Source organism: Homo sapiens, chromosome 4 (assembly GCF_000001405.40).
Source record: "Homo sapiens chromosome 4, GRCh38.p14 Primary Assembly".
Lineage (NCBI taxonomy): Eukaryota > Metazoa > Chordata > Mammalia > Primates > Hominidae > Homo > Homo sapiens.
In genome coordinates this window covers 42,607,201-42,627,273 of record NC_000004.12, presented here as the reverse complement: position 1 = coordinate 42,627,273, position 20,073 = coordinate 42,607,201, and the positions used below count along the sequence as shown (strand labels likewise).

General features: G+C 37.4%; 1 protein-coding gene across 12 annotated transcripts in view, besides 2 other annotated features; it reads left to right on the top strand.

The window, feature by feature from the left end:
- ATP8A1 (ATPase phospholipid transporting 8A1) overlaps positions 1-20,073 on the top strand; it is a 248,733-nt gene that overhangs the window by 29,832 nt on the left and 198,828 nt on the right. For 11 of the 12 annotated variants that reach the window (NM_001400027.1, NM_001400026.1, XM_047449508.1 and 8 more), the window contains exons 2-5: positions 165-279; positions 1,561-1,660; positions 2,640-2,738; positions 11,196-11,241. Coding sequence is in view for 10 of the 12 variants with exons in the window: in NM_001400026.1 (NP_001386955.1) it covers positions 165-279; positions 1,561-1,660; positions 2,640-2,738; positions 11,196-11,241 (360 nt within the window). In the remaining 2 variants the exon portion in view is untranslated. Of the gene's footprint in view, positions 1-164; positions 280-1,560; positions 1,661-2,639; positions 2,739-11,195; positions 11,242-20,073 lie in introns of those variants that run through there. The other variant, XM_047449509.1, reaches the window with a different exon arrangement.
- Positions 257-306: a silencer, noted in NCBI's record as "silent region_15395". NCBI's record gives its function as "represses an Ori minimal core promoter by ATAC-STARR-seq in GM12878 lymphoblastoid cells {active_cell/tissue: GM12878}" and the evidence as "EXISTENCE:reporter gene assay evidence [ECO:0000049][PMID:35858748]".
- Positions 15,894-16,438: an enhancer, noted in NCBI's record as "NANOG hESC enhancer chr4:42612853-42613397 (GRCh37/hg19 assembly coordinates)". NCBI's record gives its function as "activates a minimal SCP1, AML or CMV promoter by ChIP-STARR-seq in primed H9 embryonic stem cells {active_cell/tissue: H9 hESC(primed)}" and the evidence as "EXISTENCE:reporter gene assay evidence [ECO:0000049][PMID:30033119]".

Genomic DNA, 20,073 nt, shown 5'->3' with positions numbered 1-20,073 from the left:
AGAAATGTTAAATATGGGGATGTTACTTTTTATTATAAAAGAAACAACAGTTAAGGGGAAGCAAGTAGCTTTTAACAGATTTCATATTCTAGACTAGTTATGAAATCTGTTTTTGGTCTGGACAATAAAACATTTCTTGTACAATAAGAAGATCTCTTTTTAAGGTTATGAGAAGACAGATGATGTTTCAGAGAAGACCTCACTGGCTGACCAGGAGGAAGTAAGGACTATTTTCATCAACCAGCCCCAGCTGACAAAATTCTGCAATAACCATGTCAGGTAAGAACTACCAAAGAATGCCATGAGACCAGCCAGCAGAGCAGAGCTGGTTAGGTCAAAATGAAAATGCTTGCAAAGAGCTTTCAGTGCAGTCAGTTAATATTTGAGAGCTCCCTGTTGGCAGTGTGAATAGGCTGTTTCCCCATCTTCTCTCCCATAGAGAAATATTCATAAGAATCTGGAAATAGCGAGGAGCAGAAAGAATAAGCACCCATCCTCTGCCGATGCTGCATAGATATTGAATAATGAAAGCTGCTTATGTGTAAATGCCTCTGTCCTAAACCTGTTAATAGAGCGATGCGTTACTGGTTTTGGTTAGCAAGTTTTAACATTTTAGAAGAGGTCTTTGCAATTCTGCACCAAGAATTCCTTCTGGTTATATAGTCTTTAAGTATTGGTTTTTGATAGTTGTGAAGTTTAGTATGGTGTGGAGGAATGGAGGGCTGTGCGAATTACTTCACTGCACTGTTGTGTTTTCATTCCAACAATAATGTAAAAAGTATCTGTGTAAGCACTGGCCACTTATGCGGCTTCTGGGACCACATAAACACCTTCAATACCAATAAAGTGTTTCTCCAGTGGCAGAGTTAACTAGATTTGAGAAGTGCCCACTTAATATGTACAATTTCAAATTCTAGAGGAACATTTCTCAATTTGGGTAATGTGGCATGTGTCTGCTTTAATCTCCTTTCTATTTGATAAACAAGAGGAAGATCTGGGTGTTTCTAAGACCTAAGTAGTGATATCTTACTGATGTGGGCATATCTGGTGTGTTTAGTGTGGATTTCTAGCCATGTTCCTGGAGTGGCAGTGAAGAAAATTCAAACAGAACCCCAGAGATCTCCCTGAAATTATCCAGGAAAGGCATCTCTGTTTACAGTGTCTGGTCAAATTGCTCAAATTGCTGATTTCGGGGTTCTTTTGGCAAGATTTTATTTTCTAGTCACACGTTGTACTCTGTCTTATGGAGGGCTGGAGCCCTTTAACTCCAAAGTTGCTCTTCTTTGTAAGCTACTTCTAGTAATGTTAAGCAGAATAATTGGCCAAATAGGACAAAAGATTATGCAAAAAAAAAAAAATCTGTGGTATTCATGCTTTACCATTTATTTAACCTTTTCACTCTTTTTCATTTAGGTTAATGACCCTTTGCAATATTCTCCCAATTTGAAACAGCCGGCAAATGTTCCTTATCTAACTTTTTATATGTTAGTAACAGAACTTTGTAAGTGTGGGTGCTAATTATGGAGAAGTTTTATGCTACTTTTCATTTTTGTTTTCTAGCACTGCAAAATACAACATAATCACATTCCTTCCAAGATTTCTCTACTCTCAGTTCAGAAGAGCTGCTAATTCATTTTTTCTCTTTATTGCACTGCTGCAGGTAAAGTCACGTCATAAAACCTTGTCAAATGTTCAGGTACTAATAAATGTTAAGCCCGTGACCAATCCCCTGAGGTTTATGTAAATGCCGAGAGATAAGCTGGTTTTGGTGGACATTTCTGGCTCCTGCTGCAAGCAGTGTTGGAATCCACTACCTTTTCCAGCCTTTTGATTCATTTTTATCAGCTTATTTTGGGTGTTCTATAAATTTGATGTGGCAAGGACTGTTCATTTTGGGTGGTAAAGGGGATGGGACGTTTTCTTAAAATGCTAATTTTCATAGTAAAAGTATCAACTCTGAACCTTAGAATGCAAGAAGTTAAATCTTGTGCTTCTCTTTGTATTTAAATTAGTTGTAGTCAGAAAAAGTTTTAGTTTATTAAAAAGTAGCATATTGAACATATGCTTAAATTTGAAAAAATATTTTCATTGAACTTGAAAATAAAAAATTTTTAAAACACCACAAAACACAAGGAAAAAAATTTAAAACTCTCATTATTCTACCATCAGAGACAACTACTCTTAAATTGTGGGTATATATCCTTCTGGTCTTTTTTTTTTTTTTTTTCCTCCCAAGCATCGTTTATTGACTTCGTTTACAAAAAGGGGATCATAGAATACCTATTGTTTTGTTACCTGCTGTATTCATATAACAATGTATGGATATTTTCCCAGTTATTCATTGTGTTTCTAAAATATCATTTTAATAGTTATATTTTAATGAATAGATATACTGTAACTTATGTAACCAGTCTTCCAATGGAGGTTGTAGTCCTATATACAACTGCTTACTGTGAAACTAATTAACATGCTTTTCCAGTACTTATTAGATACGAACACATTACCTCACTCAGCATTAGTCGGCCAAGATAGTAAAATCAGTGAGGCATATTTTAGAAGGCACTGAGACTGTTTTCTTGAATCTATTATAAATTTTCTAGTTCTCATTGGATTTCTCTTTTTTTTTTTTTTCCAAACAGCAAATACCTGATGTGTCACCAACAGGTCGTTATACAACACTGGTTCCTCTCTTATTTATTTTAGCTGTGGCAGCTATCAAAGAGATAATAGAAGATATTGTAAGTATTCTATTTTTTCATAATTGTATGTGACTTTGTTATTTATATATGCTTTAAATATTAGTTTTTTCTTAAATTATTTAATTCTTGGCGTGGGCTGTTTAAAATATCCATTCAACTTCAAAATGTCTAGAATATGTTCCTATCCCTGAAGTTGATTTTTGTTTTCTGTAATATTGCTGAATGTTTGTTACAGTGTTCTATTGCATTTATAGTTTAGCAAATAAAAGAAATTAATTTACTGTAATAATTGGCTTGAGGAGAAAAGTACATTTGAACATTATTTTCAATTAAATGAAAAACCCTCCAAATTATCTAAGTGATATTTTTTGGTATTTTCTATTTTTTAATTTAAATAATTATAAATTTCATTTTATTAAATGCCTTGGATTTCTTCTCACCTTATTTAATAGTTCTAAGTTTCTTTTTCCTTTATCTCATTTTTTTAAAAGAAAGTAATAGTAACCAAATTAGCTATTTTTATTCTGTGGTAATAAGAGAAAGGGGAAGTCTCTTTCTCCTTTATAAAACTAACTCTACCAAATAAATTCAGGCCTTTTTTCTGTTATATCTATTTTAACTGTCTTACTTGAGGAAACCAATGTTTTGTTTTGGTTTGGTTTTTTTCCTGTTCTTTTAAACTACTTCATATATATATAGAGAGAGAGAAGGAGAGACTTTTAAGTTCAGGGGTACATGTGCAGGGTTGTTACATAGGTAAACGTGTGTCATGGGGTTTTATTGTACAGATTATTTCATCACCCAGGCATTAAACCGAGCATCTATTAGTTACTTTTAGTTATTTTTCCTGATCCTCTCCCTCCTCCCACCCTCCACCCTCCAATGCGCCTCAGTATGTGGTGTTCCCCTCTGTGTCCGTGTGTTCTCATCATTTACTCCCATTTACAAGTGAGAACACACGGTATTTGGTTTTCTGTTCCTGTGTTAGTTTGCTAAGGATAATGGCCTCCATCCAGCTCCATTCATGTCCCTGCAAAGGACATGATCTCGTTCTTTTTTATGGCTGCATAGTATTCCGTGGTGTATATGTACCGCGTTTTGTTTATCCAGTCTATCATTGATGGGCATTTAGGTTGATTTCATGTCTTTGCTATTGTGAATAGGGCTGAAATGAACATACATATGCATATGTCTTTATAATAGAATGATTTATATTCCTTTGGGTATATACCCAGTAATGGGATTGCTGGGTCAAGTGGTATTTGTCTTTAGGTCTTTGAGGAATCACCACACTGTCTTCCACAATGGTCAAAACTAATTTACACTCCCACCAACAGTGTATAAATGTTCCTTTTTCTCTACAACCTTGCCAGCATCTGTTATTTTTTAACTTTTTAATAAATGCCATTGTGACTGGTATAAGATGGCATCTCATTGTGGTTTTGGTTTGCATTTCTCTAATAATTGGTGATGTTGAGCTTTTTTTCAACGTTTGCTGGCCGCATGTATGTCTTCCTTTGAGAAGTGTCCATTCATGTCCTTTGCCCACCTTTTTTTTTTTTTTTGAGACAGAGTTTCGCTCTTATCACCCAGGCTGGAGTGCAGTGGTGCGATCTCGGCTCACTGCAACCTCCACCTCCCAGGTTCAAGCGATTCTCCTGCCTCAGCCTTCTGAGTAGCTGGAATTACAGGCATGCGCCACCATGCCCAGCTAATTTTGTATTATTAGTACTGACAGGGTTTCTTCATGTTGGTCAGGCTGGTCTCGAACTCCCGACCTCAGGCAATCCACCTGCCACGTCCTCCCAAAGTGCTGGGATTACAGGCGTGAGCCACTGCACCCAGCCCTTTTCCCACTTTTTAATGGGGTTGTTTTCTTCTTGTAAATTTAAGTTCCTTGTAGATGCCGGATATTAGACCTTTGTCAGATGCATAGTTTGCAAGTGTTTTCCCCCATTCTGTAAGTTGTCTGTTTACTCTGTTGTTTTTTTTTCTTTTTTGCTGTGCAAAAGCTCTTTAATTAGATCCAATTTGTCAATTTTTGCTTTTGTTGCAATTGCTTCTGGCATCTTTGTCATGAAATCTTTGCCCATGCCTATGTCCTGAATAGTAGTGCCTAGGTTTTCTTCCAGGGTTTTTATAGTTTGGGGTTTTATATTTAAGTCTTTTTTTGTGTTTGTTTTTTTTGTTTTTGAGATGGATTATCACTCTGTTGCCCAGGCTGGAGTGCAGTGGCGCAATCTTGGCTCACTGCAACCTCTGCCTCCTGGGTTCAAGCGATTCTCCCACCTCAGCCTCCCGAGTAGCTGGGATTACAGGCTCCCACCACCATTCCCGGCTAATTTTTTTTTTTTTTTTCCTAGTAGAGACAGGGTTTTGCCATGTTGGCCAGGCTGGTCTTGAACTTCTGACCTCAGGTGATCCACCCACCTTGGCCTCCCAAAATGCTGGGATTACAGGCGTGAGCCACCATGCCCAGCCTTCATTTAAGTCTTTAATCCATCTTGAGATGAGTTTTGTATATGATGTAGTTTCAGTCTTCTACATATGGCTAACCAGTTATTCCAGCATTATTTATCGAATAGGGACTCCTTTCTTCATTGCTTGTTTTTGTCAGCTTTGTCGAAGATCAGATGGTTGTAGGTGTGCAGTCTTATTTCTGGGTTCTCTATTCTGTTCCATTGGTCTATGTGTGTTCTCCTACTAGTACCATGTTATTGTGGTTACTGTAGCCCTGTAGTGTAGTTTGAAGTTGGGTAGCATAATTGATACCTCCAGCTTTGTTCTTTTTGCTTAGAATTGCCTTGGCTATTTGGGCTGTCTTTTTGGTTCCATATGAATTTTTAAATAGTTAAATTTTAAACTATTCATTGACATTCTGTAAAGAATGGTAGTTTAATGGGAATAGCATTGAATCTGTAAATTGCTTTGAGCTGTATGGCTATTTTTACAATATTGATTCTTCTATCCAGCAGCATGGAATGTTTTCCATTTGTTTTGTCATCTCTGATTTCATTGAGCAGTGGTTTGTAGTTTTCCTTGTAGAGATCTTTCACCTCCCTAGTTAGCTGTATTCCTAGGTATTTTATTCTAAAATAGTTGTTTGCCAGTCTGAGAGGACAATCTGTTAATCCTTAGGAAAGTAAGATGGTAAAGCCAGGAAATGGTGAGAAATTTAGAACGCTCCAATTTAAAGTTATACAAACATTAACACTTTTTCTATAGAGGATCAAATTGGGATCTCATTAAGATGGCATTTGCCATGTTAGGAATGGGTCAATTGAACATTTAGATCATCAGTTTCAAAATCATCCAAGTATTTAAGAGTAGAAACAGATGTTGTGCATGTGTATAAAACAGCATAGTCTTCTTGATTGGAAATGACATACTTGATGGAGACACTAGCTGAGAAGTGTAAGAGACTCCTACCTGCATTGCTCCACATAGACTTGCCAACCTTTAAATTGTGGTAGGACTTGGCAGTCCACAGGGATTGGTCTTTACTACACTTTTGTCACTTTCTTTGCCTTTTGGACTTCCCTTTTCTTTGTTTAGCCTAATTATCATTGAGTACCTTTAATTTACTAGGCATCATGCTAGTGTTTCACAAATGTTTTTCTCGTTTAATTTTTTCAATAACATTGAAAGTTGGATGTTAACCCAATTTTAAAGGTAAGGAAGCTGAGGCTTAGAGAGGTCATGTAACTTGTCTAAGAAAGTGATAGAATCAGAATTCCGTCCTATCCAGTGCTCTTGGCTCTGCATGATTGTGAAGAGTCACCAACATTTATTGTGCTTCTAGGTTGTACTTACTCTATGTCCTTTACATTTACTAAATCTTATAACAACCCTTGAAGATGTTATTGATCTTATCCCTATTTTACAGATAAGAGGAGGCAGGAGGGGTACGGTAACTTGTCCAAAGTCACACTGGGGCTGTCAGAATCCAAACAAGGCATTTTGGCTCCAGACTCCTGCCTTATAATCACTACTCAAAACTGCCTTCCCTGTCTTGTTTTGCTTTGTTTTGTTCCCTGGCAAAGCTATAATCTCTCTAGCTATGGTTTCTAGTACTCCATCTTTGAAAGTACGTGGCAAATAAAATTGTATCCAAGAAGTTTTTTTTTAACAGAACTCTTTTTGGCATAATATAATAATCAGGTACTATTAGAAAGTTGCTAATCATGCAGTCCTAAAGAATGTAATAATAGTATTGTGAGATAATAGTATCATATGAAGTAGTTTTCCAATGAAATCACTGTTAAGAAATTGACTAGAAATTGTAAGAGTAGTTTAGCAAGAAGTTTATGCCAAACTGTAAAGTGATAGAAAGTTTGAAAGAATACTCTCTAAAATGGGGGACAAATCAAATAACAATTTAGATAGTTGGACAAAGAGCTGTCTTTATCAGTGAGAATAATGAATACATCTTTTCATTCATCCGTTCAGCAAGAACATTTGAAGAACTCTTGAGCTGCCAGGCATTCATTAGGATATGTATGAGGATGTGTTAAACTTTTGCTGTGCTGGTAATCATGTCTCATATGTCAGTGGCTTAATATATAAGTTTATTTTTCACTTACTCAAAGACACGTGATGGTGGGCATCAGGGATTCAGCCTGAATCAAGATTCTGCTTTGTGGAATATAGGTGGTTATTGTAGCAAGGGTGGGGAGAGGGGATGGAATCTCAGTTCTTCTATGTTTTGGCCCAGAAATGGAGCACGCATCTCTTTATAGCTCAATATTAGAACTAGTGGCATGGCAAAGAGAAGGTGTTATCTCAGGGTCCATGGAAGTGGAGAGCTGGATATTGGTGAAGACTGGTCATGGCTGCCACTAATACATCAGTGAATAAAGCAGAGATTACAATCTAGTAAACTTTCCTATATTCTATTAGATAATGTTTTTAAATCTCTCTATATATATAGATTTAAAATTTTAAAATATATATATATATATGTGTAGATAGATAGATTAAAATATAGTAAGAATTGCCTGCAGGTAAGGTACTGAAGACTTATCCACCCCCAGTGCATTTTAACTCTTGATGCTTTAGATAACTTAACATACTATGATTTTCTATTTTTATGTGTTAATAACAAATAACACACATACTTGGAAATACTCTAAAATTGATGGAGAACTCTCTTCTAAAAAGCTGTATTATGCTAAATGCTAGTTCCTGTGATAAAGATCAAATTTGTTAAATTGATATTTACCACTAAAAATGTTCCCTCTTTGCTATAAACTTGTTAATTTAAATACTAGGAGACTCCATTCGTTATAAAACAGTTATTCAAAGCCTACAATGCGTAGGAACCAAATACTGAGACTATGTTAGTGAGTAAAACTAGCCGTGATGGAGCTTATATCCAATAGAAGAGATCGACACTAATCAAGTAATCATACTGGTGAGAATGGCTTGAACCCTGGAGGCAGAGGTTGCAATGAGCCGAGATCCCACTACGGCACTCCAGCCTGGACGACAGAATGAGACTCCATCTCAAAAAAAAAACAAAAAAATCACACTAGGCTATTAATGAGAATTAAATGATGGACGTGAAGTCCTTAGAATAGTGCCTGGTATATAGTAAGTGATGAATAAATGTTAACTGTATTATCATCTAGAGATCCTTTTGGCTTAACAGTAGAAAATGGATTGCAAGGAGAACAGAGCATTTGTGCAGACAAGAATATTCTAGTTGTTAGTGTAAAAAAAATGAAGATATATTAGACTCAGCAGGTATGGTAGACATGGTGAAAAGTAAGAAAATGAATTTAGTACATTTTTAAGAGTAAAACTGACAAGACTTACCACTATCTAACATGGCTACATACCCTATTCTATCCACAACCACTGGAATGTAAGCTCCATGCAAGGAAGGGGTTTTGTCACTTGTTACTGTAGTCTCAGCAACAGTAACAGGGCCTGGCACATAGTCAGTGTTTAGTAAATATTTATTGAGTGAAAGAATGGCTTGGATAGGAATGAGAGGGAGACAAAGGTATTAGAATGAATTTCCTGGTTTGGGTAAATGGATGGCATGTGTTTCCATGTCTGAGACAAGTACCAGGTCTTGGAGATTAAGGTCCCTGGTTGCCTTGTGAACAGTTTGAGATGCCTTTGAGATTGCCGGAGAGATGTTAAAGAGGCAACCAGATATAATCGTGGAGCTCAGATGAGAGTTTTGACTGGTATATATTTATGTACTGGTTATAATTGAAACTGCAGGTATGAAAGAGTTGTAAGAAGAGAATATGGAGTTAGAAGTGAGGAGGGCCAGGGAGTAAGCCTTGAGCAATACCATTGCTGAATAGCAAGTAGGCAGAGGAGACAAGGGTCAAGGTGCAGATGGCAAACCTGGCAATGATGTGATAAGAAATACCTAGGGAGGGAAGAGTTTCCAGAAGGAGGGAGTGGTCAGCATTGCATACTATGTATCCTGAAGTTCATAACACTGTTTATACAATACAGTTTATTCGTGTGCTGTCAATCTAATACTGATGATATTAAATAATTCATTAGCCCTCAGTGATAGTAAATGAATTTGGATTATGACACAGTTGAGGTATTTGAACTCAGAGAATAGCTTAATTTTTTATGAACTATTAGTTTTAGAAGGAATAATCTTATCAAGACACAAAAGTTAGATGCTTTCTTTTTGTAGGCATGGGATTAAAATCTGCCTATTGAGATAGATTCTTAATATATTCAACACACTTGTTTCATGACAAGTAACCTAATTCTGTGATGGGAAGATAGAGGAAAGAGATGCTCTTGTGCAAGAGTTCGCTGTAGATGGAAAGTGATGTTTAAGATCGCCTTGGGTTTCACTAAGATTAAATTTCCTCTTTGAAGTGGAATGTTTCATTAATTAGCTTTTATTTATCTCCTTTAGTTGGAAATCTAACCATTGTCTCGTATTTTGGAAACATTTGTGCCTCCTTTGAATATCTAAATTTACCTTGGACTGTTATTTTTGATGAAAATTTGTTTTGGATCACTTTCTAATTTTCTTCTAATCTCTACTAACAAGCAAAAAGAATATTTTCAAAGTTCTGTAACTACAAAATCTCTACTGATGCTACAAATTTAACAGAACTTTAAACATTTAAGAATCTTTTTTGGCAAACTGTGCTTGCTTTTGGAAGCAATAATATGCCTATTGAAAGTCTACATTAATACACTTTTATTAGTGAGTATTTTATACTGAAAAGGAGTTCTGATTGTGTTCCTGCATGTCTGTGTGGGAAGAATCATTCTCAACAATTCTTTCGCAGAGGCATTTTGAATGTTTTGTTTGCATTTTGTGCAGTTCAGTAGCTGATTGTTTCCACAGACTGAGTGTATGCTGCCAGCTCTTATCTATTCCTCTTGGGTGTTGCCATGTCCTGGAGTGCTAATCCACACTTCTAGATTTTTCTCTTGCAGTGTTTTCATATGCACACTGTGATTCTGAAAACTGTATTTTTTCTCAAATGGAAAACTTAGGAACTCATTTGTTTTACATTTGTTCCAACCCATATTATAGTCAGGTACGCACAACTATATTCAACTTCAGGCTTTGTATGATACAATCTTTGAGCGAACAGAGTTAGTTACACTCACCGCTCTTCTGCAGTGTTAATGGAGTCTGATGAGTTACACTCGATGCTGTAAATTTAGATGGAAGCCATGGAAAACCTCTAGGTGAACCGGAGAGAAAATAGCTTTCCTGGGCACTCAGATTCTCACCTTTCCTCTGACCTTCTGTTTCTTCTTCTTACCCACTGCTATAAAACCTTGGCTTATGCAACTCTTCAAACCTACCTAGACTTAGACTAACTCACTTGCTTATTGTGTAATTTTGTAGGTGCTCTTGGGAGGAAGGAAGATATGATAAGATTATGTAATTCAATGGCTTTCGGTTGCAAGTGGTGGGAGGAGGGAATGCTGGGGAGCATTGAACAGGGGAGACTGTATGCCAGTGGTAGACATCGTTGGTTCAAGTCATTGGCCGACATCAGCATATCATTAAATTATAGAGGATGTGCTCAGCTTAATTCGGTAACAAATTTCGTAAGCTGAAAATATTTCAATACTATTATTAAACAGTAGTTATTATAGATAATTCTCTCAGGCAATCTCCTTTTTGAAGTGAGTTATTAAAGCAAAATACTAAATCAACCTTTCATACTTTTCTAGTACATTAAAATTTTAATCCTACCTATGTGCCGAGGTAAGATCCTTGTGAGGACCACAAACTTATGCTCTCAGAAGAGGAGCACTCTATGGAGATACTGGGAATTGTTCTTTCAGTTTTAAAATTCCTAGGTGTGCTCTAATTCTTCCCATCACCACTCCTCCATCAATGTATACTTTAACATTGACATGAATGAGAAATGATAAAAACCTTGAGAAACATAAGCTAAATCTTTTTTGGTATGAGTGCTCTCTTGTTTTAGTAATCTTATTCACATTTTCACAGTTGTTCTTTTTGCTTTTAAACTTTAGAAACGACATAAAGCTGATAATGCAGTGAACAAGAAACAAACGCAAGGTAGGAATTTTACATGCTTTTTTCTCATATTTGTCAAACCTACTTGTAGTATATACAAACACTTCAATTACATATAATTCAATTGCAAATAGTGTGCATCTCAAGTTTTTGTTTTGGGGTAGATTGATTTTTGCTTTGTGGCATTTGTTAGGATGACACTTAAACTCACTTTAAAGTGATTTATAGTGATAATACTTTTGAAAGCCAACATTTTAAATATATTTAAGTGCTTCATAGCAATAGTCTCTCAAATACAGTCCATAAAGTCTGCAGTTGTTTTGACAGTGTTAAATATTATAAATTTATTTTGTTTGTAATCTACAGATGTTATTCTAGAAAAGATGTATAGAAAATAATCACATGTGATGTCACTTGAGTGAAAAGCATTTTGGAAACACTGAGTTATACATGCAGATGACAGACACTCCAGAAATAAAACAAATACAACCCGGCCTGCTTCTGTACAGTGCATGGCATTTTGGCACAGCTCTTTTTGGATGGGGCTCATTTTGATACAGCCAAAAGCAAAATGATCTTCAATACAAGCAAATTCGCCATCATGCTCTAAGATTTTTTTTTTTTAATGCCCAGGAATGTGAGAAACAGACATCTTAGCTCATCTCTGAATGAATTTGCCCCATCTGAGAATCTCATCTCTGAAGTTCTCTGATGTGGTGAGGATAAGTGATGTCTGCCAACATTATCTGGTATTTAGGAAGACTATTTTTATACTGCTGATATTTCTATGGAGTCCTGTCAAAATTCCCTGCTTCTTTTTCACCACCTCCCACAATAGGCATTATATGCCAATTTTTAATACATTTAAGGATGATATATTTACTAATTAATAAATTTGCAAAATATTTACTGAGAGTATTTTATTATGGAACATATAAGAAAGTATAAGACGGGAATTTCAACTTACAACTTATAAAGAGCTTATAACATATTTGTTGAAATAGGTACATGTAAAAACATGTAAAAGTACAAAGAGATGATCTGTGTGGAAGATGAAGGATTTGGACTACATGATCTCAATTATCTTCGGATTTTTGTGGCAAATCATAGTTTCTATGTCAAGTGCTATAAAAATTGGTAAGGAGAGAAAACTGTGGTGTATCTTGAGCTAGACCTTGAATTTTAGGAGGACATTGGATGAACAGAGAGGAATGGAGAAGATATTTTTATGTGTGGGTTGAGTGGGAAAGGAGGAAGAGGGGTTTTTCAGGAAAATAAGACTGTAGGACTCCTTTGCTGAACCATTATTAGACTGCCAGGCGCAGAAAGGAGATTCACATCAGAGGGAAACAAAATCATGATTTAAAAGGTAGGCTGAGGTTGAATTGTATAGGGTCTTGAAGGCTAAGCCAAGGGGATTCCAATATTTCTTGTGGATATTGAGTCGCTGTTGAAGGTTTATGAGCCAAAACGAGACAGGCCGAACATGTGGGTTAAAGATGGAAGGCAGAATGAACAGGAGTAAGGGACTGTTAGAAGCCTGGGACAGAGCTACTCCAGGAGTTTAGTTGTGAAGGGACAAACACAGGAATTGAAAGGGAAAAAATCCAGACGTTTCAAGCCTGGTATTTTTGGCAATATGCAGTTTTTGCATTTGTTGCCGTATTGCTCAGAATATTCAGTAACAGCTTTTGAAACAGAAGTACATAAATGCTTTTCCAACCCATAATGTATCTTGTAGCAGAGGGCTCCTATGTTCAGTGACTGGCAATTATTGATTTTCAAGCCTTGGCTCAAGAAGTTGACATAGTACAGTAGAGGTGTGGTCACCATAGCTATGATGATTTTGGGCTACCACACAGGTGCTCCACCCTTCTGGGTACGTACTTACCTCCAAAAAAAAAATTCCTTGCCTACCATTCAGATAAAATTTTATTTCTTGACTATCCATCTTGGTTCATGAGTCCCCTTCATAGATAACAGGATTGGCCCTATGGCTAAATATGAGAATAGGCAAGTGAGAGGAAAAGCTTCTATAATAAATATATATAAAACTCAATTCAAAAATGAAATATTAGGGCTTAGCTATAAAAGCCATTTCAGTCAACAGAATACACTTCATATCTGTAGGTTTCTCATCCTAAGATTCAACCAATTGAAGATCAAAAATAGAAGGAAAAAAAAAAAATGAGGCCAGGCGGGGCGGCTCATGCCTGTAATTCCAGCCCTTTGGGAGGCTGAGGCGGATGGATCGCCAGAGGTCAGGAGTTCAAGCCCAGCCTGACCAACATGGCAAAACCCCATCTCTACTAAAAATACAAAAATTAGTTGGGCGTGGTGGCAGGCGCCTGTAATCCCAGCTATTCGGGAGGCTGAGGTAGGAGAATCGCTCAAACCCAGGAGGCGGAGGTTGCAGTGAGCCAAGACCGCGCCACTGCACTCCAGCCTGGGTGACAGAGAGAGACTCTATCTTAAAAAAAAGAAAAACAATGCAACAATAAAAAAAAATACAAGTTTAAAAATATAGTATAACAACTATTTACATAGCTATTTACATATTTACTATTTAAATTGTATTAGGTCTTATAAGTAATGTAGAGATGATTTAAAGTATATGAAAGGACATGCATAGGTTATATGCAAATACTGCACCAGTTTATTTAAGGGACTTGAGCATCCATGGATTTGTATCCATGGGAGGTCCTGGAACTAATCCCTCATGGATATTGAGGGGGGACTGTACTTTCTTTCAGATCTTATAAGTCCCATATCCAAGAAATTATGGCTTTTATGTTGGTAGTTGAATTTGTTTCCTAAGAGAATAGTATATTTTTGTTTTCCCCTTTGCTGCCTTTGAGTATTGGTCTTCTTGGTTTGGCAGTTGATAGGAGATAACAAAAATGTTCGAGTAGGATACTGTTTGCTGTCAGATAATTCAGATTGCTTAACATGAAAGCCATCTGTTATTAGGCCAGAATGAAATTCAATTTGCTTTTCTGAATTGAGGCAGAAGTGGGTGTATAGGAGTGGGGAGGGAGGAGTATTTTTGACAGGTAATTAATTTTTGATGGACATCTGAAGCATCCAACTCATTTTCATTTTGTCAGTGTTTGTCAAGTCCACATAATATGTAAGAGACATTTTTTTCTCAATCAAATGTTAACCCTTTTATATTCACAGAGGAATGAATATTTTCTCTCCTTATGTGAGGCATCAGAGGGTAACACTCTCATTCCTTAGCAACTTCAGAAATATAAACTTGTCTTTTTATTTCCAACATTTTCAACCGTTTAACTGAAAACTGGTGCTTATTGGATGCCCTGTTTTCACTGATAAGTTAACTCAATCAGGGATCGAATTATGGAGCTGAGACCTAACTCAGAACCTAAAAGTTGTCAACACCACTTCTGGAAACAAGCCTTGCCCCAGAGATATATAAGCTGGTTTGGTTGATGATTCAGTGACCTGATGAATATAAAATTGTGTACTGTTTTCCAACAACCTAGCTGCAGAGAGAAGACAGAGTAGGTTGACGCTCAGAAGTCCAGGGATGTGAGTGAGTCTTGATGAGTTTTATGGTCCACTCCACCCAGAGCACTGTGGCTGCTTCTCTTTGCTCCAGTGTTTTTGTTGTGTGATGGTTTGTGCATACTAGATAGGAACACTACAGAGGGAAGGTCCAACTCTTACTCAGCTTTGTGTTCCCAATAGCTCCCAGACCAGGATCCTGTCTTAGTAGGTGCTCTCTGTGTGCATGTTAAATGAACGAGTAAATGAACCACTCTCCAGATAAATACTTCAGTATACATAATAAAGGAAGAAGAAAGACTGGAAATGAAAAGAAGCCTTCCTGAAAATTCATTATCTGGAGTGCGAATAAGATGAAAAGCAGTATCTTCATAACACTGTGTCCCAGACTTTCACAGTCACTGATAAAATCCAAATATGGCAGAAGTTCTTGCCACTTTATCTTCTCTGTCAAAGTCATTATATTATCATTTAACCCTTGCTTCACCTTCTGTCAATACAATAGTTTGTCTACTGATCCCTTTCATTACTCAAAGCACTGCCCTGTTCAGAATGCGCTCATTTTCCTTGTATCTAACCTTACTTTCATTTCCTCTGATCTCTTCCCTCAGTATTTGAACTCACATTTTGGCACAGCCTCCTCCATGTGTCTACACACACAAGAGGCCATCTCTCATTGTTTTCTCTGAGATGAGTTGTTCTGCCAAATATATCTTTGCAGAAATTTATAAATTACAAATTTATAATTGTTATTCTAATATGCACATTGAAGCCAGTCCCCATATGAATTTATTGTGGTGATTGAGCTAGTTTTTATTTTAACTGGTAAAAATATGCTGTCGTTTTTTATGAAATGCCATGATGGCTAGCTTGTCAATATTTCAAGTGGAATGACAACTTCATCTAAAATCACAACATGGGGGCCTGGGAAAGGATGGATGGAGTTCAGGTGCAAACTAAGGTATTTGGGAAAATTTGTAAATGCTTCCTAATGAGTAAATTTGCTTTTTAAAGCCCCAGGTGTATTCCCTGGACGATGGTCTGTATACATTCTGCATATGAGAATGTGTGGGAGATAGAGCTGCGATCCTTAGCAGCCCATTGATCAACTGGTTTGATGCTATAGTTAAATGAAGGCTAAATTGTTTAATATCGTACCCTATTTTATTATGATACTAAGCATTAGAATAAGTAATAAAGCAGTTTTCTGATTATTTAGAAAGGGTCACATGAAATTCTTTTAAACTAGACACATAGCTAAAAATAATAAATCGACTCATATTCACCTTATCTTCCTTCCCCAGAGCTACATCAATCAGCCTTTTCTGAATGGAGTTGAGTGAGTGACAGCTGATAGCCACTAACAAGACTACTTCCCTGCAGGGCGCATAGTTGCTTATCTCCCACTGGAAACCATTTCAGCTTTAAAGTCCTTTGTGAAAAAGGTGTTGAGTTGATGTGGATTGAATGTGTTGCGGGTTGTTAAGCATGAAATGACCTACTAACAACAAGGCGGAGTTCATCTGGTTCAATTCATTTCAGTGCTGTTCAAAGAGATGTATTATGCTAAGGGACTTAAAATAGCAACACCTTTCTTGCCTGCTGAAAAAGAGAGTGTTGCTCCCTTTTTGTCTCTCTGGAGGTACCCCCACATCTGCTCTGTTCGGTAGACCTGAACATATATTCTGCCACGTGTATGTTGGCTTACCTATAAATGGTTTTTAGAAAGTAGTGTTTCAGTGATCCTAGGGACTTAAAATTAAGCATATTTATGGCCTAAGTAATTTCAGACATCTATAAGCTTTATAATATTTTCAGATTGTCACAAAGATCTGAGTATTATGCAAATACTAAAATCTAACCATTGAACTGGTTAGATGTCTTCAGCAGTAGCTCTGGATGGAGAGGAGATATTTGTGGGGAAAGACAGCTCCAGGTTGTCTTTCACTTTTTTTTTTTTTTTTGCACACAAAGGAGCAAAACCCATTGAGGAAATTTGGGAAGATGGTTAAAGTGAGAGGACTGATTTTATGGCTGGCTTTATGACTTTGCTCTGTGCTTTATTCGTGTATGTGCATACTCCACTCACATTGTCTTTTATTTTTAAATTTAAACCAGGTAGTCTGCTTTCATGGGAATTTTTCTCTCTCCTGTTTTTGCCAAACCCAAATAAGTTATATTAACATATTTTCTGGGAAAAATGGGTGTGATTCAAAGTTAGAACATTTGTTATTTTACTTCAGAAAGTCTTTATTGAACATCTTTCTTGTGTAGGACCCTGTGTAGAAAATGCAAAGAGAAATCATACTTGTCCTACAGGAAATTATAATCTTGTCGGGAAGATAAGATGCAGACTGATATAATTCAAGGTAAAAAAAAAAAAAAAATTAAGGGCCAAATGAGAGATGTAGGGATTCCAAAATGCCATTTGAGGGGTTCATGAAGTAAGAGTGGAACTTTGGTAAGCAGATATCAGGGTAGTAACTGTGAGTGATGCAGGGTGAAAGGACTAATATGAGCGTTACTGTGGAAGTGGGAAGACATGAGATGTACTCTGGAAATAGCAAATAGTCTGTTTTGGCCAGGGCATAGAATCCATGTCATGAAACAATGAGGGACAGGGACAGGGAGGCAAGTTAGGGTCATTTTTCGGAGTCTTTTGAAAACCAGGGTGAGGAACTTGGATGGAATTCTGAAAAGTATGGATAGGCTTCCACTTGTGCTTTTGAAAGAATTTGACAGCTGTATGGAGAGGTGGCAAGGAGAGGCACAGAGAGATTGATTTTCTTATTAAGGAGGGGGACAGGTTGTGTCAAGTAGAAGACAAAGGAAAGCACACAGTGGATAGATTCAACTGGACCTGGCAATGGAGAGAAACCCAGTCAAATACCAAGTGCTGCCAAATCAAAAGACCAGGACTGAGACACCCACTAAATCCAGCATTTAAAAGAAGTAGCCGTTGTTCATTTTTCTTAACTAGAGAGTAGTCGTGGAGCTCTGAAAACTGAAGCCAGATCGCAAGGAGTTGTGGAATGACTGATGGGTGAGGCAGTGGAGGGAGATTTTTCTTTCAAGGAATTTCTCAATTAAGCAGAGGAAAAAGTGAGGGACTCATGACTGTGAGCAGGAGAAAGGGAAAGCATTTCGAGAATAGGGTATTGCTGGTCTTTGTGCTCCGATCACATCGTGCCACTTATATTGATGTTTAATAAGCCATTGGTTCTCAAATTTGGCATCAGAATCCCCTGGAGCATTTGTTAAAACACAGATTGCTGGGACTCACACCTAGAGTTTCTGTAGGCCTGGAGTGGGGCCCCAGAGTTTCAGTTTTAACCTCTCAGTGACACTGCTGGTGAGGGGGTCGTGCTTTTAGGACAACTCATTTAAAGGTTGTATAAATGAGTTGATAGAAGTAGTATCAACCAATTTGACATCAATATATGTATTATTATGTGTATTACATGATTGAAAGAGGAATCCAGGAAGTTTCCATTGTCTTTTGTGTCAGTGGACACTAATGGTTCAGCCAAGCCCCTGGTGGTTTAATGTAACCTTTATAGGCAAGCTTATACAAGAGACTCTTCCTGTGCCATGTCAGTTTGTGCCACACTGAGGCTTTTGCCTTAAAGTTGTCTTTGGAAGTAAGAGTCTATATAGTGAATAAAATAATATTTTAATGTTGGCATATTGGCTTTCCTTCTTTGCCCCAGTCAAAGCCATAGTCTCAGCTATACTACAGTCCTTGATGACCTAAAATTCCTCTTAAATGCTGACTCAGAGGAATTGGAGCACACTACATTTTCTGTGGTTTTACTATTCCTCTATGACAACAGTAGTGTCATTGTCTTTTTGGATGACTTGCCTCTTGTTACCCACTTAAGAAATGATAGGCTGGGTGCGGTGGCTGACGCCTGTAATCCCAGCACTTTGGGAGGCCAAGGCAGGCAGATCACAAGGTCAGGAGTTCAAGACCAGCCTGACCAACATGGCGAAACCCCATCTCTACTAAAAATACAAAAATTAGCCAGGTGTGGTGGCACGCACCTGTAATCCCAGCTACTCAGGAGGCTGAGGCAGGAGAATTGCTTGAACCTGAGAGGTGGAGGTTACAGTGAGCCGAGATCGTGCCACTGCACTCCAACCTGGGTGACAAAGCGAGACTCTGTCTCCAAAAAAAAAAAAATGATATTATTGCCCGGGGAGGGCACCCCGGTGACACTTTCAGCAGTGGCCCCAGTGGTAGACCATTCTGATTGGGGTGGGGTGGGTGGGAGGCGTGCTTCTCTCAGAGAAGCTGATGTTAGAGTGTAAGTCAGCACCTGCACCTGTGCATTATTTGATTGGGTCCTGAGAAACTGGCCACTTCCTCCAGGGCCTTTGAGGAATCCCGAATGTTCTCTAACAGAATGTTTTCATTCAAAAAAGAAACCTATTACAACAAAGCTGTTACCTTGTATCCTGCTGAATAAAAACAAGTTACATTTGAGGTAATTGTTTAGTCTGAGCTCTCCCATGGCAGGACTGTCAGACTAATTAAGCTGTTAGAAAACTATAACAGGTGTGTTTGGTTGGAACTGGTAGAGGAGTTTTGCATTTAAAACAATGAGCTGTCAAAGCACCATACCACTAGCCATTCTGACAATCCTGTCGTAACTTATTCCTACTCCCCTTCACCAGGCTTCTTTAATCATCTCCTCTAGGCTCTTAACGCTTTCCATATATTGGAGGAATGTCATCTTCCTAAATGAAGGTAGGGAGGAACACAGTCACCTCCTTGTTGAAATCTAATCCAGTTACATTGTGACTGGTTTCTTGAACACATTCTAAATGTACAAAATTACATTGGCCTTGGCTGTGTAATGTGAGGTTTACCTAATTCTCTACTGAAATGAATACATTAAAAAAAAAAAAAAACCTGTAGAATCAGAATAGCATCTCTGTTACTTTTGGCTCAACAACCCTAAATGCTCATCACAGGCTGGGCATTGTTTCTTGCTTTCTCTAAACTTAGGTTTGTGCCGGGTCAGAGGAGGTTGATGATTTAAAAATACCTAGATTGCTAATTCAGTCACCAGCATAATACATGTGGTGGTGTTTATTTTCATTGTTCTAAGGACTGGGTGTTTAAGAACCAGTTCTAAAAGATAACAATGAATTATAGGATTGACTAGTTTCCTTGGCCAGTGTTCAAGTCTTGATTTGTATGGAAACTTTTTTTTATGTTGTGAGCTGATTTTTAACTTTATCAGAGTATACTCATCTATATTCCAAGAAGACACTAGCCTCAAGTTTGTGTATTTCCTTTCTTCATTTCTGTATTCTGGTTTTGTATTTCAAGAACACAGT